We start from the raw sequence: 23,311 nt of genomic DNA on the forward strand, positions 1-23,311 counted from the left end.
GTCATAAATTCTTGCTGAGAATTTTGCATGGCATATAAGAAGCTATCACGTTGAGAATGTAGAGAAGGCTCTGGGATATAGGAAAGAAACATTTTTCAGAGACCCTTGACTATCATAATTTTAACAAGTAGTTAAACCAAACTCATTAGGGAGCAAAAACACAAGCAGAGAAGGAAAGGTTTGTGAGTAGTAAATTCATGGCAGTCCAGGAGGCAGAGTGGACACAGTTCTTCATCTGACACCTGTTTACTTAAAGAAAAGCCATTTTTTTTTCTTTCTCATTTTTCTCTGGAATTTTTTCTGAGATGAGATTCTCTGAACAAATTACACCCCCAGCTTGAGAATATGCCTTTAAAAGTGTCAGTGCCACATGTTTACCTGCTAGCATGACATCAACTGGCAGAAAAACAAAGACAGAAAAAGTCCACCCATTTCTGTCCTTTAAAACAATGAGACTCAGAAACAATGAGCTGCTCCATGAAAATAAAAATGTATCTCTTTTGCTGTCCTCAGGTGCCCTCCCCTGCCACAGACACCAGTAATTTCTGCTACAGTAATGGAAATATGCACCACACTGACCTGTCCCTACCAAATTCAAACAGAACAGGCCCTGTGACCACCCTTTAGTGCAAAGGTGGAACTTAACTCTCATGAATGTGTTTTGAAGCAATCATACTTGATTCTGGTCTCACCTTAGAGCCATATGAGGCCCTTCGTTAAAACAACATGGATGCTTCCACCCAGAACAATAAACAAGCTGTGGAGAGGGCATAAGAGATTTCTGCAAATTAGCCATGTGATCCTAATGAGAAGCCTGGGCTGATAATCACTAAGTTAATCATTGCCTCTCAAGCTTTAACGAGCTTCTAAATCACTTGGTAATTTTGGCCCCACTTTATGTAAAGTGATTCTGGAAGCTTGAAAAGGGTCCAGGAATGGTTGTTTTATACAAGTCCCCTGTGAATGCTGATGTTGCTCCCCCGGGCTCATTATTAGCATTAGTCAGAGAAGCAGGCACAGCTCAGGGTCCCTTACCCTTAGCACTTTTGTCACAACCAAATGCTTCTGGCACAAATAAGGACAACCCATCTCCATCCTAAAGTTTTATATTATTTGCTGGCTCTTTAAAGTTTACAGATGAAACAGAGACCTGGAATCTACACTTCAATTAGCAGCAATTACAAAAGGATTTGTAAAGACAACAAGAGAGGGACAGAGAGTGGGCTGATACAAAGTTGTCTGTTAGAAATTTTTATTTATTTAAACAAATAACTTTGATTATTGATTAGATATATATCATTATGGTTTAGGGTATGAAATATAATGTCCAATATGGCATTATTATTTTAATTTATAACTACTTGTGGCAATAGCAAACATTTTCAAGAAATGAATAAATAGTTCAAAGTGGGAGAAAGACATAACTGCACTTTCACTTTAATGTCTCTCTGAGTTTGATAACCAGAAAGACTTGCATTTTTCAGATAAAAGTTTTTTATTTCCCAAATCTCAAGACCTGGATTCAAAATTTGGAGCTACAGATTTAGGGCCTGAATGGCTGGAGTTGCAGCAGGTGTTAACTGCACATTTGTGGGCATTTTGGCAAGAGGAGGAATGGGAAAGTGGAGATTCTCATGTCTATATGTCTAATCAATGCACAGATGCTACTGTGATTGGGTTTCTGGGCTCCATAGTCACTGAATTGCTTTCAGGTTTGAAGATAAAAGAGTCATTGAAAAAGGTGAAATGACTGATTGCTGCCCGTGAAGTTTGTAGAAATTTGGTCTAGCTTCTCTAGAAATGACTGTAGAGGACTACAGATAACAAATAGGCTGAGACACAATTCTGCCTGCATATTTAAGGGACAGCATGCACTGTGCTGTGCACGTGTCTGTTAACTGGAAGCCTGAGAGAAAAAGTCCCCTCTAGAGTAAATTCTGGTTGGCACCTTATGTGTTTATATCATGTCTGGTAATTCTAGACAGTGTTTGGAAACAATAATTAAAAGAAAATTTTTCTCCAGTCCCAGAGAAACTCCACAATAATAGAACAGAAAGAAAATGCTTTTATTACACAATTAAACTTGAATGTGATGTCCATATACTCAATCTGCTTAAGAGACTGCAAAGACAGAAAGATGGTCACCATAATTAGTTCACAAGTAGAAGAATTTGCAGCACCATGTCATACATCGTTCATCCTAAATTCACCTGGAGATTGAAGAGGCCATCTGTGTATACTAATTGCTTATATTCAATGATGATAAACTTTTCACATCCTCATAACAGGAGGTAGTTTAGTAGCTTGAAGCCAGGTGTCTGCTGAAGCTAGGCTTTCACTCTGCTACAAAAATGGTTGAATAGTGTTCTATCTTTTTGGCTATTTACATTTTAGAGCTGTGGCTCTGTACTCCCTGGCACTGGGCTACAGCACTCCTGCTCACTTTCTCCTGGTTGCTACTGTCTTCTCTTGACTTCTACCATCTGCCACTGAGGCACAGCCCAGAGCACAGCTCACATTTTATGTGAATCCCATTTGCCACAGCAGCACTATAGTGTCACATCAGAGAGGGAAGCCTGAGCTGCAGGAGGAGAGCCTGCAGGCCTCCTGGGTAGAATTACACCTTCACAATAATCAAAATAAGACCAGTGTTTCAGTCTCAGGTTCTACTTATAATGGTGACAAGGAAATAATGCTGCTAAATTTCCAGCATGAGTCCAAATAGAGATAGCTCCAAAAGTTCTTTCTGTGACAGCCCACCTCATTGAGACACCATGGAATACTAATAGGGCTTCTGAAACAGACAAAGCATTGGAGAGAAAAACAGATCTCCATCTGGGCAAGATGATTTTGACAGAAGTTAAAACGATCTTAAGAAAAAGCTCAGGCTGTCTCTGTCTCTCCCTCTCCCTCTCCCTCTCCCTCCTTTCCACGGTCTCCCTCTGATGCCGAGCCGAAGCTGGACTGTACTGCTGCCATATCTGCTCACTGCAACCTCCCTGCCTGATTCTCCTGCCTCAGCCTGCCGAGTGCCTGCGATTGCAGGTGCGCACCGCCACGCCTGACTGGTTTTCGTACTTTTTTGGTGGAGACGGGGTTTCACTGTGTTGGCCGGGCTGGTCTCCAGCTCCTAACCGCGAGTGATCCGCCAGCCTGGGCCTCCCAAGGTGCCGGGATTGCAGACGGAGTCTGGTTCACTCAGTGCTCAATGGTGCCTAGACTAGAGTGCAGTGGTGTGATCTCGGCTCGCTACAACCTCCACCTCCCAGCCGCCTGCCTTGGCCTCCCAAAGTGCCGAGATTGCAGCCTCTGCCCGGCCGCCACCCCATCTGGGAAGTGAGGAGCGTCTCTGCCTGGCCGCCCATCGTCTGGGATGTGAGGAGCCCCTCTGCCTGGCTGCCCAGTCTGGAAAGTGAGGAGGTCTCTTCCCGGCCGCCATCCCATCTAGGAAGTGAGGAGCGTCTCTGCCCGGCCGCCCATCATCTGAGATGTGCGAGCGCCTCTGCCCCGCCGCCCCGTCTGAGAAGTGAGGAGCCCCTCCGCCCGGCAGCCGCCCCGTCTGGGAAGTGAGGAGCGTCTCCGCCCAGCAGCCACCCCATCCAGGAGGGAGGTGGGGGTCAGCCCCCGCCCGGCCAGCCGCCCCGTCCGGGAGGTGAGGGGCGCCTCTGCCCGGCCGCCCCTACTGGGAAGTGAGGAGCCCCTCTGCCCGGCCACCACCCCGTCTGGGAGGTGTACCCAACAGCTCATTGAGAACGGGCCAGGATGACAATGGCGGTTTTGTGGAATAGAAAGGGGGGAAAGGTGGGGAAAAGATTGAGAAATCGGATGGTTGCCGTGTCTGTGTAGAAAGAAGTAGACATGGGAGACTTTTCATTTTGTTCTGTACTAAGAAAAATTCTTCTGCCTTGGGATTCTGTTGATCTGTGACCTTACCCCCAACCCTGTGCTCTCTGAAACATGTGCTGTGTCCACTCAGGGTTAAATGGATTAAGGGCGGTGCAAGATGTGCTTTGTTAAACAGATGCTTGAAGGCAGCATGCTCGTTAAGAGTCATCACCACTCCCTAATCTCAAGTACCCAGGGACACAAACACTGCGGAAGGCCGCAGGGTCCTCTGCCTAGGAAAACCAGAGACCTTTGTTCACTTGTTTATCTGCTGACCTTCCCTCCACTGTTGTCCTATGACCCTGCCAAATCCCCCTCTGCGAGAAACACCCAAGAATGATCAATTAAAAAAAAAAAAGAAAAAAGAAAAAAGAAAAAATACACCCTGGCAGAAAACTTCTCGAATGTAAGTAAAGTGGGAGTTTTCAACTTGCCCACCTCCTTACAAAAACATGCAATAAGAATGTGCTAGATATAAAGCTTACAAATGTGAGAAATACGGGAAGTTTTTCAATTTTAACAAATACTTTCAAAGTCATGTGAAAATTCTCACTAGAAAGAAATCCAATAAAGGCAAGTTGAGGCATTAAAAAAAAAAAAAGAAAAAGCTCAGAATACATATAAGATTGACTAAGTCAGCCAGAAAATAATCCCCTAAAAGAAATTTCTCTCTAAACACCCAATGTGCACAGCTACTCTCAGCATGAGAAACATGAGCTTTATGAAGAAAGGTGGCAGATTTTCAGAAGAATTTTATAAAAGTTTCTTTTCCATCTCTGCTGCTGTCTCATCTCCTAGCCATTGAATGGGGGTTCTATATTGAAATACATCTGACAACTTCCAACAACACTTTTTGATCAAGAAATAGAATTTGACTATGTTCGTATAGTGGAATATATTAGAACTTGTAACATAGCTAACTGAATAGCTATTATGGTGTTTGGGTGGCCACATCACCTGTCTTTATTTGTCCGGTAATAGCAGCATTCCAATTTAAAGAAATAAAAGATACCAAAATTGTGTTTACTTTTAATTATTCCTATTGAATAAAGTAATAAGCATGTCAGACTGATATCTATCATAACAATAAATTTTGTTTGGATATTATATTAGATATAAATATTTAAGTATGAATACTTTTAATGAACTAGTCATAATGTATGTAGCATTTTTAAAAATTGTAACTATACTTCAGTTAAAACACTTTATATTTCAAAAGCATAAATAACAATATTAAAATAACAATTTAGGTGATTCATTCAAAGTAAGTATTGGGGCTTTATGTTCATACTATTGTAGAAAATACTGCTTATGGCTGATGCCTGTAATCCCAGCACATTGGGAGGCTGAGGTGGGTAGATCACCTGAGGTCAGGAGTTCCTGATCCCATCTTTACTAAAAATACAAAACTTACCCAGGGTGGTTGTGCACACTTGTAATCCCAGCTACTTGGGAGGCTGAGGCAGGAGAATTGCTTGAACAAGGGAGGAAATGGTTGCAGTGAGCCGTGATCATGCCACTGAACCCCAGCCTGGGCAAGAGAGTGAGACTGTCTCAAAAAAAAAAAAACTGTTTAATTTTTATGAATGCAGGTTTTCTGCAAACACTACACATAACTATGCTAATTGTTCTGAAGTAATAAATAGAAAGCAAGGCACAACTACAGACTCCACTGTTCAGTTTATGCACTGAACTGTTCTTGCTTTTGCAGTGTAAGTATTTCTGCCTGCAAATACTGGATAATTACCTTGGATCATCAGATTTCTATCAAAGGAATTTAGTATCTTTTAGTCTTTATCATTTTGTATTGCTAAATTTATCTGTGTGTTAAGCTTCTATGTGCTCTTAAAATGAGGTTTTATCTAAACAAACCTGTGTCTACTTTAAAAGACTAAACATGAAAAAACTAAACTTTTCAGAACCAAAAACAAAGCAATAAATCTGAAGTACTAGATAGTCTGGAGTGAGATTTATTTAGCTTTTTTTTTTTTTTGAGATGGAGTCTCGCTCTGTCACCGAGGCTGGAGTGCAGTGGCACGAACTCGGCTCACTGCAAAAGCTCTGCCTCCCAGCTTCATGCCATTCTCCTACCTCAGCCTCCCAAGTAGCTGGGATTACAGGCAACTGCCACCACGCCCAGCTAATTTTTTTGTATTTTTAGTAGAGACGGGGTTTCACCGTGTTAGCCAGGATGGTCTTGATCTCCTGACCTCGTGATCTGCCTGCCTCGGCCTCCCAAAGTGCTGGGATTACAGGCATGCAAAACCGCGCCCTGCCCTTATTTAGCTCTTAATATGATTTACATATATTTCAAAAAAGCAGAGAAAAATATCTACATATAATCTAAATCCCTTAAGAAAAGAGAGAATAGCAAAAAAATTTTTGGAACTTTTTAAAGAGTTTTGAACTCTTGGACATCTGAATTTTGCACACTATATGCACTTGAAAGAATGTTAATGGGGAAAAAGCAGAAGAGAAAAAGACGTTATAAAAAAATCCATGAGTGCACAACACCTATGAAACAGAATAGAGAGCCCAGAAATAATGCCTTTCACCTGCAACCATCAGATTTCTGACAAAGCTGACAAGAGGAATGTGGGAAGAATTCTCTCTTTCATAAATGGTGCTGGAATAACTATCTACCACTATGTAGAAGACTGAAGTGGACCCCTTCATTACACCATATAAAAAAATCAACTGAAGATAAATTAAGGACTTAAATGTAAAACTTAAAATTATAAGAAACCCTGCAAGATAACCTAGGAAATAGCATTCTAGACACAGAAACAGGTAAAGACTTCATGATGAAGCTACCAAAAGCAACTGCAACAGAAGCAAATTGACAAATGGGATGTATTTAAACTTAAGAGCTTCTTCACAGCAAAGGAAACTATCAACAGAGTAAACAGACAAACTAGAGAATAAAAGAATATATTTGTAAATTTTGCCTCTGAAAAAGGTCTAATATACAGAATTTATTAGGAACTTAAACAAGTTTACAAGAAAAAAACACACTCATTAAAAAGTATGCAAAAAACATGAACAGATGCCTTTCAATAGAAGATACACATAGGGCTAACAAGCATATGAAAAAAAAATGCTCATTGCTAATCATTAGAGAAATTAGAAGAGAAACCACAGGCTGGGTGCGGTGGCTCACGCCTGTAATCCCAGCACTTTGGGAGGCCAAGGCAGGCAGATTACAAGGTCAGGAGATCAAGATCATCCTGGCTAACATGGTGAAACCCTGTCTCTACTAAAAATACAAAAATCAGCCAGGTGTGGCAGTGTGCACCTGTAGTCCCAGCTACTCAGGAGGCTGAGGCAGGAGAATTGCTTGAATCTGGTAGGCAGAGGTTGCAGTGAGCTGAGATCACACCACTGCACTCCTGCCTGGGCAACAGAGCAAGACTCCGTCTCAAACACACACACACAGACACACACACACACACACACACACACACACACACGCAGAGAAACCACAATGAGATACCACCTCATACCAGTCAGAATGGCTATTTTTAAAAAGTCAAAAGATAACAGATGCTGACAAAGTTGCAGAGAAAAGGGAATGCTTATACTCCTCTGGTGGGAGTGTAAATTATTTCAACAACTGTAAAAATCAGTGTGACAATTCCTCACAGAATGAAAAACAGAATTATCATTCGACTGGGAAACCTCATAATTGAGTATATACCCAAAGAAATATGAAATATTATAAAGACACATCCACATGCATGTTCACTGCAGCACTATTCACAATAGCAAAGACACGGACAGACTAAATGCCTATCAATGGCAGACTGGATCAAGAAAATATGGTATGGTCAGATGCGGTGGCTCATGCCTGTAATTCCAGCCGTTTGGGAGGCTGAGGCAGGTGGATTGCCTGAGCTTAGAAGTTTGAGACCACTCTGGGCAACATGGCAAAATTTTGTCTCCACAGAAGATACAAAAAAAAAAAAAAAAAAATGGCCAGGCTTGGTAACACCCGCATGTAGTCCCAGCTACTTGGGAGGATGAGGTAGGAGAGAATTGTTTGAGCCTGGGAAGTTGAGGATAAGGTAAGCCAATATCACACCACAGCACTCTAGCCTGGGCAATAAGTGAGACCCTGACTCCAAAAACAAAAGATTTAGTAAAAACAAAATATGGTACATAAGCATCCTGGACTACTCTGTGGCCATTAAAAACAAATAACCATGTCCTTTGCAGTAACATTGATGAAGCTGGAGACCATTATTCTTACAAAACAAATGCAGAGGCTGGGTGTAGTGGCTCATGTCTGTAATCCCAACACTTTGGGAAACCAAGGTGAGTGGATCACCTGAAGTCAGGAGTTTGAGACCAGCCTAACCAACATGGAGAAATCCCATCTATACTAAAAATACAAAATTAGCAGAGCATGGAGACGCGTGCCTGTAATCCCAGCTACTCAGGAGGCTGAGGCAGGAGAATGGCTTGAACCTGGGAGGCAGAGGTGAGCTGAGAACACACCATTGCATTCCAGCTTGGGCAACAAGAGCAAAAACAAACAAGCAAAAATATCTCAAAAACAAAGAAACAAAACAAAAAAAGAAAATAATACAGGAACAGAAAATCAAATGCATGTCATTATTTATAAGTAAGAGCTAAATAATAAGAACACATGAACACAAAGAGGAGAAAAACAGGCACTGAGGCCTAGTAGAGGGTGGAGGGTGAGAGGAGTAAGAGGATCAGAAAACATACCTGTTTGGTGCTATGGGTAGTACCTCAGTGACAAAATAATCTGCATACCAAATCCCCATGACATAATTTCAGCTGTATAACAAACCCACATGTGTACATCGAACCAAAAATAAAAGCTAAAAGAAAAAAAACTCCCCGAGTGGGAGAGAGTGCAATGTAGGTGAAAGAACTTATTTTTGCTACAGATAATGGCCCAGGTAGGGCTGTACTCTGATTTACTTCTGTGTGAATACAGGCAGATGAGATTATGAACAAGTGGTCCAGACCCTAGGATGGTGGAGAAAACAGGTTGCTGCTGCAGATTCAGTGTCTGGGGGTGGGGTTATGCCAGGAGACTTGTAGATACTGTGGGTCCTTTTCAAGAAACACTGGGTTCAAAAATGCCGTGGTGAAGTTCCTGAGGGTGGTGCCGAGTCCTAGGAGGAGTGTGGACATGTCAATGTCTAGTGTGTGTGTTTGTGAGTGGGTGGGAATACTATGGTGGCACCTGTGGGAAAAGGGCGTCTGTCATGGGAGTTTCTCTCCGCTAAGTTTTCAGTCCACAGTTGCCCTCGGAGAAGACCTGGAATCACAGGACAATGGGCAGTGTGACAGCCTGTGTACAGGAGAGCAGAGCCTCCCATTCCCAGACACCCAGAGTTTTATTCCAGGCCAGGCCTCCATGATATCTTTTTTTCTGGCACCAAATCTGTAGCATTTGCTGAACATCAAACAATTCTCCAACACCAACTTACGGTCTAACATTTGAATTCTGACACCACCCACAGTCAGTACAGACCCTGATTCAGGGCTCGGTCCCACAACATTGTCCTCAATGCAGATGCCAGTCATAAACCCCATGGGCCCATGTATGTGTCTGAGCTACTGTTTAAAAACGGGAGACGGCCGGGCGCGGTGGCTCACGCCTGTAATCCCAGCACTTTGGGAGGCCGAGACGGGCGGATCACGAGGTCAGGAGATCGAGACCATCCTGGCTAACACGGTGAAACCCCGTCTCTACTAAAAATACAAAAATTAGCCGGGCATGGTGGCGCGCGCCTGTAGTCCCAGCTACACGGGAGGCTGAGGCAGGAGAATGGCGTGAACCCGGGAGGCGGAGCTTGCAGTGAGTCGAGATCGCGCCACTGCACTCCAGCCTGGGCGACAGAGCGAAACTCCGTCTCAAAAAAAAAAAAAATAAAAATAAAAAAAAATAAAAATAAAAACGGGAGACTCCCATAACGTCCCTGAAGTTCAATAATTTCATAGAGCTACTCACAGAACTCAGCAGGAAACTGTAGTTACCTTTACCGGTTTAATATATAAGATGAAGGCCAGGAAAAGTCAAATGGAAAAAATGCACAGAACAAATAAAAGAGATGGAAAAAGATGAAACACATAATCCTAAAAAATATTTGTGATTAATAAAATCATCCTAGGTCGGGCGCGGTGGCTCACGCTTGTAATCCCAGCACTTTGGGGGGCCGAGGCGGGCGGATCACAAGGTCAGGAGATTGAGACCATCCTGGCTAACACGGTGAAACCCTGTCTCTACTAAAAATACAAAAAATTAGCGGGGCATGGTGGCAAGCGCCTGTAGTCCCAGCTACTCAAGAGGCTGAGGCAGGAGAATGGCTTGAACCCAGGAGGCGGAGCTTGCAGTGAGCCGAGATGGTGCCACTGCACTCCAGCCTGGGCGACAGAGCGAGACTCTGTCTCAAAAAAATAAATAAATAAATAAATAAATAATTTAAAATGTCTCCATCCTTTGTGTGCTCCAGGAACAGTTTATGGAAGGAAACACCCTTCCCATTATGACTTAAGTGGTGCTCTCTTTTCTTTCCTAAAACACAGGCTGACACACACACTGCACATTTTCTCCTTTTTTTTTTTTGAGATGGAGTCTCTCTCTGTCGCTGAGGCTGGAGTGCAGTGGCGCGATCTCGGTTTTCTGCAAGCGCTGCCTCCCAGGTTCACGCCGTTCTCCTGCCTCAGCCTCCGGAGTAGCTGGGACTACAGGCGCCCAACACCACACCCAGCTAACTTTTTTTTTTTTTTGTATTTTTAGTGAAGACGGGGTTTCACCCTGTTAGCCAGGATGGTCTCGATCTCCTGACCTCGTGATCCGCCCGCCTCGGCCTCCCAAAGTGCGGGGATTACAGGCGTGAGCCACCGCGCCGAGCCTGGAATTCATTTTTTTTTTTAAACATAAATCTAATGTTTTTATTTTACAAAGTTTAGAAATTGCCTCAAAACAATAAAAACTTCATCATCAGTAAGACCTCCCCAGTTTCCTTTCATCTTAACCTTAACTGCATCTGCCTGTGGGATCCCAGCTTTCCAGGGCTCTGTAGCTTCTCTCAGGATAAAGGCTTCTTCTATGGCTGGGGTGAGCAGGCTGAGACAGCTGCATGGGTGGCTCCTCAGAAAGAACTAACTGGGCCTTTAATAACTTCCTCTTGCATGCTTAATATTAGCCCTAGCTTGGAGTTACTAGGTTCAAGCTTTAATTTCCATGTCAGAGTTATTCACTTGGTTTTCAAAACTAAGTGTTTGAAAAATCCAGTGAAATTACTCACAGCGTTTACATAAGAAAAGGAAATTTTAAGGTGCTTACTTTTTTTTTTTTTTTTTTGAGATGGAATCTCGCTCTGTCACCCACACTGGAATGCAATGGCTGGATCTCAGCTCACTGCAACCTCCACCTCCTGGGTAAAAGCTATTCTTCTGCCTCACCCTCCCAAGTAGGTGGGACTACAGGCATGCTCCACCACACCCAGCTAATTTTTGTATTTTTAGTAGAGACAGGGTTTCACCATGTTGGGCAGGCGGGTCTCAAACTCCTGACCTCAAGGAATCAACCCGCATTGGCCTCCCAATGTGCTGGAATTACAGGCGTGAGCTACTGCACCTGGCTAAGGTGCTTGCATTTTATGCCTCCATAAGAAAAACAAATATATCTACTTCTTTCAGACAATATATGTATTATTTTATTATTTATATTAAAAAATAATGTAGTAAAAAATTAGTCATATGGGAATGCTTCTAAAAGTTACCACGTTTCATCACATGCAATTTAGCACTAAACTCAGAAATCAAGACAACAGGATATAGAATGGAGATATTCACTGTCACAAATTTACCCTGCAAAAAGAGGAACTGATGTTTTGATGAATCTGTGTAACTCATTCACCACATTTTCCTATGAAAATATATTCATTGTCTAGAGCCAAAATGGAAGAGAGATTTTCCCTATTTTTTCCCTTGGTAGCTAGCATTATAAAGCTAAGGCTTAGAATTCTGTCTGAAATCACTAAGACATAAAAACCACACCCAAGAAAATTCCTAAACTCACTCTTGGAAAGAAAAATGTAAATGAGTTATTAACAAATGGAATATATGATTAAATATTAATTTTTTGAAACTCATCTTTTATTTTCTTTGTAAATATTTTCTTACCTTTCAAGCCCTACTAATAAAATGCAAATTACAGATAAAAAACTGATTCAGGTGGGTGCTGTGGCTCACTTTAATGCCAGCACTTTGGGAGGCCAAGGCAGGCAGATCAATTAAGATTAAAAGTTTGAGTGGGGCACGGTGGCTCATGCCTGTAATCCTAGCACTTTGGGAGGCCTAGGTGGGCGGATCACCTGAGGTTGGGAGTTCGAGGCCAGCCTGACCAACATGGAGAAACCCCATATCTACTGAAAATATAAAAATTAGCTGGGCATGGTGGCACATGCCCAAGGCTGAGGCAGGAGAATCTGGGAGGCTGAACCTGGGAGGCAGAGGTTGTGGTGAGCCAAGATCACGTCATCGCACTCCAGCCTGGGCAACAAGAGCAAAAATCCATCTCAAAAAAAAAAAAAAAATGACTAAAAGTTTGGGACCAGCCTGGTCCATCTCTACTAAAAATACAAAAACTAGCCAAATACAGTGGTGCACACGTGTAGTCCTAGCTACTCCGGAGGCTGAGGCATGAGAATCACTTGAACCCAGAAGGTAGAGGTTGCAGTGTGCCAAGATCAAGTCACTGCATTCCAACCTGTGCAACAGAGTCAGACTGTCTTAAAAAAAAAAAAAAAAAGGCAGAATCAACAACAACAACAAAAACACCTGAGGTCAAAATAAGTGAACAAATCTTTCAAGGTAGATATCCAATCACTCACCCCATCCTGTTCACATGCTCAATAACCACCCTCCCAGGAGACACAGCGCAGACACAGCGTGACTGCCCCAGCTGCATTTTACTATGTAAGTTTTTACCCCATCTCACTGGGGTCATTTTCTTTTGTCTTTTGAAGGTTTTTTTCACAAACTTTTTACTATTTTTCTTTCACTCCCCCCAAGAGCATCCAGGGGGCAGAAATTATTTGTTTTCCCCTCAATACCAGCATCTGATTGGCTCACCAACAATGTGTCTCCAAGAAATGGAAGTTAGGTTGGGTCAAGACAATCTTCATGTCTCAAGGGGCTAGCTTTTCAAAAAAAAAAAAAAAAGTATATCAGGAGATGCCTTTCAGCCCCAAGGCTGCCACCTGCTCCCTTGAGAGGCTACACTCTATACTTCAGGTGGTCCTAAGGGAGAAAGTGACCCAAGAGCTAATATCCATTAGACATTTTAGCAGACATAGCCATAGTGGGTATCTTGGTTTATCTCCAGAAAGTACTAAAACCCAGGCCCAGAATAAAACTGAAGGTTAGCAGAGGTCACATCACCCTATAATGTTTCCAGAGGGTAATGTTAACCTAAAAACATTCTGGTAAGTTCTCTGGAAAAATAAAAGAAAAAAAGGTACAGATATTTTTTACAATACAGTGTCAGGGGATTATTCTTTGCTTTCTTCTCATGGGAAATATTTAAAAATAGAAAACAAATCTTTTCAATAGTGCTATGCAATGCTTTAAACAATGATTGAGGAACGTGGGGTACAGGAGGCCCTGCTGGGGACACATGTGAAAAATGCCAGAGAAAATCAGCCCCTTGTGGGTTGTGAAAATAATTAAGCGGCAGGCAATTAGACTGAGAAGGCTCTAGTCCTCAGATTCCTACTTGTAAAAAAATGTAAACTCAAGTTGATTTGTTAATAAATTACTACATTTGGGGAAACAAATTTCAGGCTTAAACAACTATAAACTGCCAAATAAGCTCTGATTACATAACCAGGAAATTTCCACCTTGATTATACAAATTAAGAAGCTACGTAAGTACACCTAACCAATTGTTGAATTTGGTTTTCTTCATCACTGATTTTACAAATGTCTTTCCTTCAAGCCCCTCCCATGGACCACAGACTACAAACTATAACTGGGTGCTCTACAATTCTTGAATCACTCTTTGATTAAATTACTTGATTTTTTGCAGTGACTCCCATAATTTTTTTTTTTTTTGTAAAGGACATATCATATTTATTCATACACATGCTGGAATTATTGGTGCAGACATTTAAATACATTTTCTTTGAGAAAGTCCTTTTTTTTTTTTTTTTGGATGGAGTTTCCCTCTTGTTGCCCAGGCTGGAGTGCAATGGTGCAATCTCAGCTCACAACAACCTCTGCCTCCTGGGTTCAAGCAATTCTCCTGCCTCAGCCTCCCAAGTAGCTGGGATTACAGGCATGCACCACCACGCCCAGCTAATTTTTTTTATTTTTAGTAGAGACGGGGTTTCTCCGTGTTGGTCAGGCTGGTCTTGAACTCCTGATCTCAGGTGATCTGCCCGCCTTGGCCTGCCACAGTGCTGGGATTACAGTCGTGAGCCACCACAGCTGGCCTGGGAAACTCCATTCTTTTTTTTTTTTTTTTTTTTTAAATTTATTTTTTTATTGATAATTCTTGGGTGTTTCTCACAGAGGGGGATTTGGCAGGGTCATGGGACAATAGTGGAGGGAAGGTCAGCAGATAAACAAGTGAACAAAGGTCTCTGGTTTTCCTAGGCAGAGGACCCTGCGGCCTTCCGCAGTGTTTGTGTCCCTGGGTACTTGAGATTAGGGAGTGGTGATGACTCTTAACGAGCATGCTGCCTTCAAGCATCTGTTTAACAAAGCACATCTTGCACCGCCCTTAATCCATTTAACCCTGAGTGGACACAGCACATGTTTCAGAGAGCACAGGGTTGGGGGTAAGGTCACAGATCAACAGGATCCCAAGGCAGAGGAATTTTTCTTAGTGCAGAACAAAATTAAAAGTCTCCCATGTCTACTTCTTTCTACACAGACACGGCAACCATCCGATTTCTCAATCTTTTCCCCACCTTTCCCGCCTTTCTATTCCACAAAGCCGCCATTGTCATCCTGGCCCGTTCTCAATGAGCTGTTGGGTACACCTCCCAGACGGGGTGGTGGCCGGGCAGAGGGGCTCCTCACTTCCCAGTAGGGGCGGCCGGGCAGAGGCGCCCCTCACCTCCCGGACGGGGCGGCTGGCCGGGCAGGGGGGCTGACCCCCCCCACCTCCCTCCCGGACGGGGCGGCTGGCCGGGCGGGGGGCTGACCCCCCAACCTCCCTCCCGGACGGGGCGGCTGGCCGGGCGGGGGGCTGACCCCCCCACCTCCCTCCCGGACGGGCGGCTGGCCGGGCAGAGGCGCCCCTCACCTCCCGGACGGGGCGGCTGGCCGGGCGGGGGGCCGACCCCCCCACCTCCCTCCCGGACGGGGCGGCTGGCCGGGCAGAGGGGCTCCTCACTTCCCAGTAGGGGCGGCCGGGCAGAGGCGCCCCTCACCTCCCAGACGGGGCGGCTGGCCGGGCGGAGGGCTGATCCCCCCACCTCCCTCCCGGACAGGGCGGCTGGCCGGGCGGGGGGCTGACCCCCCCACCTCCCTCCCGGACGGGGCGGCTGGCCGGGCAGAGGGGCTCCTCACTTCCCAGTAGGGGCGGCTGGGCAGAGGCGCCCCTCACCTCCCAGACGGGACGGCTGGCCGGGCGGAGGGCTGACCCCCCCACCTCCCTCCCGGACGGGGCGGCTGGCCAGGCGGGGGGCTGACCCCCCTACCTCCCTACCGGACGGGGCGGCTGGCCGGGTGGGGGGGCTGACCCCCCCACCTCCCTCCCGGATGGCACGGCTGGCCAGGCGGGGGGCTGACCCCCCCACCTCCCTCCCGGATGGCACGGCTGGCCGGGCGTGGGGGCTGACCCCCCACCTCCCTCCCGGATGGGGCGGCTGGCCGGGCGGGGGGCTGACCCCCCCCCCCCCACCTCCTTCCCGGACGGGGTGGCTGCCGGGCGGAGACGCTCCTCACTTCCCAGATGGGGTGGCTGCCGGGCGGAGAGGCTCCTCACTTCTCAGACGGGGCAGCTGCCGGGCGGAGGGGCTCCTCACTTCTCAGACGGGGTGGTTGCCAGGCAGAGGGTCTCCTCACTTCTCAGACGGGGCGGCCGGGCAGAGACGCTCCTCACCTCCCAGACGGGGTCTCGGCCGGGCAGAGGCGCTCCTCACATCCCAGATGGGGCGGCGGGGCAGAGGCGCTCCCCACATCTCAGACGATGGGCGGCCGGGCAGAGACGCTCCTCACTTCCTAGATGTGATGGCGGCTGGGAAGAGGCGCTCCTCACTTCCTAGATGGGATGGCGGCCGGGCGTAGACGCTCCTCACTTTCCAGACTGGGCAGCCAGGCAGAGGGGCTCCTCACATCCCAGACGATGGGCGGCCAGGCAGAGACACTCCTCACTTCCCAGACGGGGTGGCAGCCGGGCAGAGGCTGCAATCTCGGCACTTTGGGAGGCCAAGGCAGGCAGCTGCTCCTTGCCCTCGGGCCCCGCGGGGCCCGTCCGCTCCTCCAGCCGCTGCCTCCCGGGCGGCGCTCGCCGGCGCCGACTCCCATAATTTACTTTTTCTAGACAGAGTCTTTCTCTGTCGCCCAGGCTGGAGGGAAGTGGCATGACCTCAGCTCACTGAAACCTACTCCTTCCGGGTTCAAGCGATTCTCACCTCTGCCTTTGGAGTAGCTGGGACTACAGACATTCACCATCACACCCAGCCAATTTATGTATTTTTAGTAGAGATGGGGTTTCCCCATTTTGGCCAGGCTTATCTTGAACTCCTGACCTCAAGTGATCCACCCGCCTCGGCCTCCCAAAGTGCTGGGATTACAGACGTGAGCCACCGCGCCAGGCCCCATAAATTTTTTCTTTTCCTTCTTTCTTTTTTTTTTGAGACAGAGTCTCGCTCTGTTGCCAGGCTGGAATGCAGTAGCACGATCTTGTCTTACTGCAACTTCCGCCTCCCAGGTTCAAGCGAATTCTCCTGCCTCAGCCTCCTAGGTAGCTGGGACTACAGGCCCCCGCCGCTATGTTTGGCTAATTTTTGTGTTTTAGTAGAGACAGGGTTTCACCATGTTGGCCAGGATGGTCTCGATCTCTTGACTTTGTGATCCACCCGCCTCGGCCTCCCAAAGTGCTAGGATTACAGGCATGAGCCACCACACCTGGCCACCCGTCCCCATAAATTTTTAATAAGAGAAAACAGAAACTGTGAACCCCACAGACCAAAGCTCTTCCCATTCATGAACCCACACCCCGAGTCAGGGTTCCCCCCCAAAGATCCTCCTGGAGTCCCCGCACAATCTAGGAGAGACGTGGCACTGTGGGTGCAGGGCTGCCCTGAGAAGGTTTCAGGCCAGGGCACAGTCACCGCGCAGGGAAGAGACAGGACACCCCTGGACCGCCTGTCAGCGCAGCTGCCATCTTAGGGCTGAAGGGGACTGAGGCCGAGCTGGGCAAGGAGAACTTGTGGCACAGATTGTGGAGCTGACTGAGGAGAGGCCTGAGTCCTGCCACTGCCACTTGTCACCGGTTCCAACCATCCCCTCCCGCTCACTCAGGATGTCGGACCGGCACTCTCACTGTTTCTAGGCTTCCAGGAGGTCCTGGTGTCTTAGCTGTGGATCTCCCAATACCTGCAGGTCACAGGGCTATAGAGGTTGCGCCTCTAGGAGCAGAGGACACAGACTAGTGAAGAGGAGACCCAGAGCTCAGGCTGCAGCCAGAGACAAAGGCTGCAGCCAAACACTGAAGACGTCCTGTTCACTCCAGCTGCGTGCCTGATTGGGCAGTTTTCAGGCCAGCGTTTCTTTTTTCTTTTTTTTTTTTATTGATCATTCTTGGGTGTTTCTCGCAAAGGGGGATTTGGCAGGGTCATAGGACAATAGTGGAGGGAAGGTCAGCAGATAAACAAGTGAACAAAGGTCTCTGGTTTTCCTAGGCAGAGGACCCTGCGGCCTTCCGCAGTGTTTGTGTCCCTGGGTACTTGAGATTAGGGAGTGGTGATGACTCTTAACGAGCATGCTGCCTTCAAGCATCTGTTTAACAAAGCACATCTTGCACCGCCCTTAATCCATTTAACCCTGAGTGGACACAGCACATGTTTCAGAGAGCACAGGGTTGGGGGTAAGGTCATAGGTCAACAGGATCCCAAGGCAGAAGAATTTTTCTTAGTACAGAACAAAATGAAGTCTCCCATGTCTACCTCTTTCTACACAGACACAGCAACCATCCGATTTCTCAATCTTTTCCCCACCTTTCCCCCTTTTCTATTCCACAAAACTGCCATTGTCATCATGGCCCGTTCTCAATGAGCTGTTGGGTACACCTCCCAGACGGGGTGGTGGCCGGGCAGAGGGGCTCCTCACTTCCCAGTAGGGGCGGCCGGGCAGAGGCACCCCCCACCTCCCGGACGGGGCGGCTGGCTGGGCGGGGGGCTGACCCCCCCACCTCCCTCCCGGACGGGGCGTCAGCCCAGCGTTTCTGATTGGATAATGCTTAAGGCCCCCGCCCCCTCAGGCCCTGAGTAACAGAAAATGTGATCAGGACTGAGTGAAGAAAAAGTCACAGCCTAAGCTGCAGCGTTTTTCAGGCAGGGCTTCCTCCCTGAGCTGAGCCAGGCCCAACCCAGATCATGGGAAAATTCTATCTTTTTTTTTACTCTCTCTCTTTTTGAATATATTCAAAAGGTGAACAGAAGTATTTTGCTGTCATATTAATAATACATAAAATTTTTTTCAAGAGAAAATCAGCTTTTACTTTGGTAATAGTGTATTATCAATACTAAAGCTAATTTTAATAAACCTTATAAATAAATCAAATTTGTCATTTTTGACCACTCCGGTTTTACATGTATATTTTGTAATCTCTTGTAATTTTTAAAAACTGTTTACATTTTATTTTTATCCAAATTCTTTTTATTTTTTCAATTTGAAACCACCTTTAAGTAATTTCAAATTGTTATAGGAGATAGAAAGAAGTCATTTAGGGCCAGGTTCACTGGCAAGTGCCTGTAATCGCAACACTTTGGGAGGCCAAGGTGGGTGGATCACTTGAGGTCAGGAGTTCAAGACCAGCCTGGCCAACATGGTGAAACCCCATTTCTACTAAAAGTACAAATAACTAGCTGGGTGTGGTGCTGCACACCTGTAGACCCAGCTAGTCCGGAGGCTGAGGCAGGAGAATTGCTTAAACCCAGAAGGCGGAGGTTGTGTAACTGCCCAAGGGGTTCACCTTGCCCTATGTCTAGACAGAGCTGATTCATCAAGACTGGGTAATTTGTGGAGGAAAAGTTAAATACTAAATTTGAACTTAATTGAACGTGGACAAACTCAGTAGTCACCAAGTTCTCAAACAGGTTGTGTGAGGCCCTTGAGGCATTCATTCAGCGCTGTTTCAGAGAAATCTCTATTTCAATCTATTTCTATATATTAGTTGTTGAAAAACAATAGACAATCGCAAAAACAAGTTGACAGTTTTGTGTTCCTTGACCCCAGTTGCAAATGGCCCTCATGACTGGGCCTTATGCCAAACAACTCGTTACAAAAGAGCTAGGGTATCAGATTGTGCTGAAGCTTCATTAGACCCTCCTCATCTGTGCAGGAATGAGTAGCTGACTCTGGAGCCCAAGCTGTTGCTTCCCAGTCTGGTGGTGAATCCTCCATAGTCTGGTGAGTGTAAATATATATATCTCTTTTCCTTTCTCCTCTTCCCATTGCAATTTGCTTATTATATCAACATGCTTATTATATCAATCTGGTTATTACATTGATTTGCTTATTATATAATTTGCTAATTATATCTGCATTTCCATTTACGTGGCACAAAGCTTATTTACCCTTAAAGGTATTGTGTGTGTGTCTTTTCTTCTCCCCTTGAATGTTTCCCACACAGAATATTTTTGGCGTCACGAACAGGATTCAAAAACCAAACTGTGCCACTTTTTGGCCACAAGGACAGGGCTGGAAACTCGAGGAAATCCCAAATCCAGGGATGGGAACTCCCCAATATCACTGTCAATTCCTACAGGATTGAACGAAGGGGACGAATGCAGAAATGAAGACAAAGACAAAAGATTTGTTTTAAAAGAAGGGGTCAGGCAGGGCGCAGTGGCTCAGGCCTGTAATCCCAGCACTTTGAGAGGCCGAGGTGGGTGGATCGCGAGGTCAGGAGAGCGAAACCATCTTGGCTAACACGGTGAAACCCCGTCTCTACTAAAAATACAAAAAAATTTAGCCAGGTGTGGTGGCAGACACCTGTAGTCCCAGCTACCTGGGGGGGTGGGGGGGTGGGGCTGAGGCAGGAGAATGGCATGAACCCAGGAGGCAGAGCTTGCAGTAAGCCAAGATCGTGCCACTGCACTCCAGCCTGGGTGACAGAGCGAGATTCGGTCTCAGAAAAAAAAAAAAAAAGAAGGTATCAGGGGCTCCTTGCTTCTAGTGAGCAGAAGGCAGCCCTGTTTCTACAGGCCTTAGTATTTATTAGGTAGAATCAATAGGGAGGGAGAGGTAATGGTTGGTCAGCTGCTTGATTTATCACAGGTACATATAATTGCTTTCTTTGTACAACAGGCTTCAGATATTCCTATAGATAACCACAAGGAACACTGCGCCTGGGGCATAACTGCCCTCAGCACCCGTTCTGGCAGCAGATGCAGTTTGTCAGTTTTCCAACATCCTGCTTTCATGAGAAGAGTTTTCCCATATAGCCTCTGTCAGGCCTCTGAGCCCAAGCCAAATGAAATTTGGTGCCATGACTCGGCTCGGGGGACCTCCCTTGGGAGATCAATCCCCTGTCCTCCTGTTCTTTGCTCCGTGAGAATGACCCACCTGTGACCTCAGGTCCTCAGACCGACCAGCCCAAGAAACATCTCACCAATTTCAAATCCGGTAAGCGGCCTCTTTTTACTCTCTTCTCCAACCTCCCTCACTATCCCTCAACCTCTTTCTCCTTTCAATCTTGGCGCCACACTTCAATCTCTCCCTTCTCTTAATTTCAATTCCTTTCATTTTCTGGTAGAGACAAAGGAGACACGTTTTATCCATGGACCCAACTCCGGCACCGGTCATGGACTGGGAAGGCAGCCTTCCCTTGGTGTTTAATCATTGCAGGGACACCTCTCTGATTATACACTCACGTTTCAAGGGTGTCAGACCACACAGGGACACCTGCCTTGGTCCTTCACCCTTAGCGGCAAGTCCCGATTTTCTGAGGAAGGGACAAGTACCCCTCAACCCCTTCTCTCCTTGTCTCTACCCCTTCTCTGCTTTTCTGGGGCAGGGGCAAGAACCCCTCAACCCTTTCTCCTTCACCCTTAGCGGCAAGTCCCGCTTTCCTGGGGCAGGGGCAAGTACCCCTCAACCCCTTCTCCTTCACCCTTAGTGGCAAGTCCTGCTTTCCTAGGGGGCAAGAACCCCCCAATCGCTTATTTCCATACCCTAACCTCTTATCTCTGTGCCCCAATCCCTTATTTCTGCACCCTGACCTCTTATCTCTGTGCCCCAATCCCTTATTTCTGTGCCCCAACACCTTCTCTGCTTTTCTGGAGGGCAAGAACCCTCCACCCCTTCTCCGTGTCTCTACTCTTTTCTCTGGGCTTGCCTCCTTCACTATGGGTAAGCTTCCACCTTCCATTCCTCCTTCTTCTCCCTTAGCCTGTGTTCTCAAAAACTTAAAATCTCTTCAACTCACACCTGACCTAAAACCTAAATGCCTTTTCTTCTGCAATGCCACTTGACCCCAATACAAACTCGACAGTAGTTCCAAATAGCCAGAAAATGGCACTTTGAATTTTTTCATCCTGCAAAATCTAAATAATTCTTGTCGTAAAATAGGCAAATGGTCTGAGGTGCCTGATGTCCAGGCATTCTTTTACACATCAATCCCTTCCTAGTCTCTGTGCCCAGTGCAACTCGTCCCAAATCTTCCTTCTTTCTCTCCCACCTATCCCCTCAGTACCAACCCCAAGCATCACTGATTCTTTCTAATCTTCCTTTTCTACAGACCCATCTGACCTCTCTCTTCCTCCCCAGGCTGCTCCTCACCAGGCCGAGCTAGGTCCCAATTCTTCCTCAGCCTCCGCTCCTCCACCCTATAATCTTTTTATCACCTCCCCTGTAGGGGTGGGTTGCCCCTCCACACCTGTGGGTGTTTCTCATAAGGTGGAACAAGAGACTTAGGAAAGAAAAAGACACAAAGTATAGAGAAAGAAATAAGGGGACCCGGGGAACCAGCGTTCAGCATATGGAGGATCCCCCCAGCCTCTGAGTTCCCTTAGTATTTATTCATCATTCGTGGGTGTTTCTCCAAGAGGGGGATGTGTCAGGGTCACAAGACAATTGTGGGGAGAGGGTCAGCCGACAAACACGTGAACAAAGGTCTTTGCATCATAGACAAGGTAAAGGATTAAGTGCTGTGCTTTTAGATATGCATACACATAAACATCTCAATGCTTTACAAAGCAGTATTGCTGCCCGCATGTCCCACCTCCAGCCCTAAGGTGGTTTTTCCCTATCTCAGTAGATGGAACATACAATCGGGTTTTATACCGAGACATTCCATTGCCCAGGGACGGGCAGGAGACAGATGCCTTCCTCTTGTCTCAACTGCAAGAGGCATGCCTTCCTCTTATACTAATCCTCCTCAGCACAGACCCTTTACGGGTGTCGGGGTGTCGGGCGGGGGGACAGTCAGGTCTTTCCCTTCCCATGAGGCCATATTTCAGACTATCACATGGGGAGAAACCTTGGACAATACCTGGCTTTCCTAGGCAGAGGTCCCTGCGGCCTTCCGCAGTGTTTGTGTCCCTGGGTACTTGAGATTAGGGAGTGGTGATGACTCTTAACGAGCATGCTGCCTTCAAGCATCTGTTTAACAAAGCACATCTTGCACTGCCCTTAATCCATTTAACCCTGAGTTTGACACAGCACATGTTTCAGAGAGCACGGGGTTGGGGGTAAGGTCACAGAATCTCAAGGCAGAAGAATTTTTCTTAGTACATAACAAAATGGAGTCTCCCATGTCTATTTCTTTCTACACAGACACAGTGACAATCTGATCTCTCTTGCTTTTCCCCACATCCCCTCCTCACACCTGGTCCGGCTTACAGTTTCGTTCTGTCCCCCACCTGCCCAGCAATTTACTCTTAAAAAGGTGGCTGGAGCCAAAGGCATAGTCAAGGTTAATGCTCCTTTTTCTTTATCCCAAATCGGATAGCGTTTAGGCTCTTTTTCATCAAATATAAAAACCCAGCCCAGTTCATGACTTGTTTGGCAGCAACCCTGAGACACTTTACAGCCCTAGACCCTAAAAAGTCAAAAGGCCGTCTTATTCTCAAAATATTTTATTACCCAATCTGCTCCCGACATTAAATAAAACTCCAAAAATTAAATTCCGGCCCTCAAACCCCACAACAGGATTTAATTAACCTCGCCTTGAAGGTGTACAATAATAGAAAAAAATTGC

At 46.3% G+C, this 23,311-nt stretch overlaps 1 long non-coding RNA gene and 1 pseudogene across 1 annotated transcript in view, besides 3 other annotated features; one reads left to right on the top strand and one right to left on the bottom strand.

Moving 5' to 3' along the window:
* LOC105372310 (uncharacterized) overlaps positions 1-23,311 on the bottom strand; it is a 148,126-nt gene that overhangs the window by 10,673 nt on the left and 114,142 nt on the right. The gene's annotated exons all lie outside the window — the stretch shown is intronic.
* Positions 2,558-2,858, top strand: BNIP3P15 (BCL2 interacting protein 3 pseudogene 15; annotated as a pseudogene).
* Positions 3,773-4,682: an enhancer, noted in NCBI's record as "NANOG-H3K27ac hESC enhancer chr19:20248957-20249866 (GRCh37/hg19 assembly coordinates)". NCBI's record gives its function as "activates a minimal SCP1, AML or CMV promoter by ChIP-STARR-seq in primed H9 embryonic stem cells {active_cell/tissue: H9 hESC(primed)}" and the evidence as "EXISTENCE:reporter gene assay evidence [ECO:0000049][PMID:30033119]".
* Positions 17,109-17,658: an enhancer, noted in NCBI's record as "NANOG-H3K27ac-H3K4me1 hESC enhancer chr19:20262293-20262842 (GRCh37/hg19 assembly coordinates)". NCBI's record gives its function as "activates a minimal SCP1, AML or CMV promoter by ChIP-STARR-seq in naive H9 embryonic stem cells {active_cell/tissue: H9 hESC(naive)}" and the evidence as "EXISTENCE:reporter gene assay evidence [ECO:0000049][PMID:30033119]".
* Positions 17,659-18,208: an enhancer, noted in NCBI's record as "NANOG-H3K27ac-H3K4me1 hESC enhancer chr19:20262843-20263392 (GRCh37/hg19 assembly coordinates)". NCBI's record gives its function as "activates a minimal SCP1, AML or CMV promoter by ChIP-STARR-seq in naive H9 embryonic stem cells {active_cell/tissue: H9 hESC(naive)}" and the evidence as "EXISTENCE:reporter gene assay evidence [ECO:0000049][PMID:30033119]".

Source organism: Homo sapiens, chromosome 19 (assembly GCF_000001405.40).
Source record: "Homo sapiens chromosome 19, GRCh38.p14 Primary Assembly".
NCBI classification, from domain to species: Eukaryota; Metazoa; Chordata; class Mammalia; order Primates; family Hominidae; genus Homo; species Homo sapiens.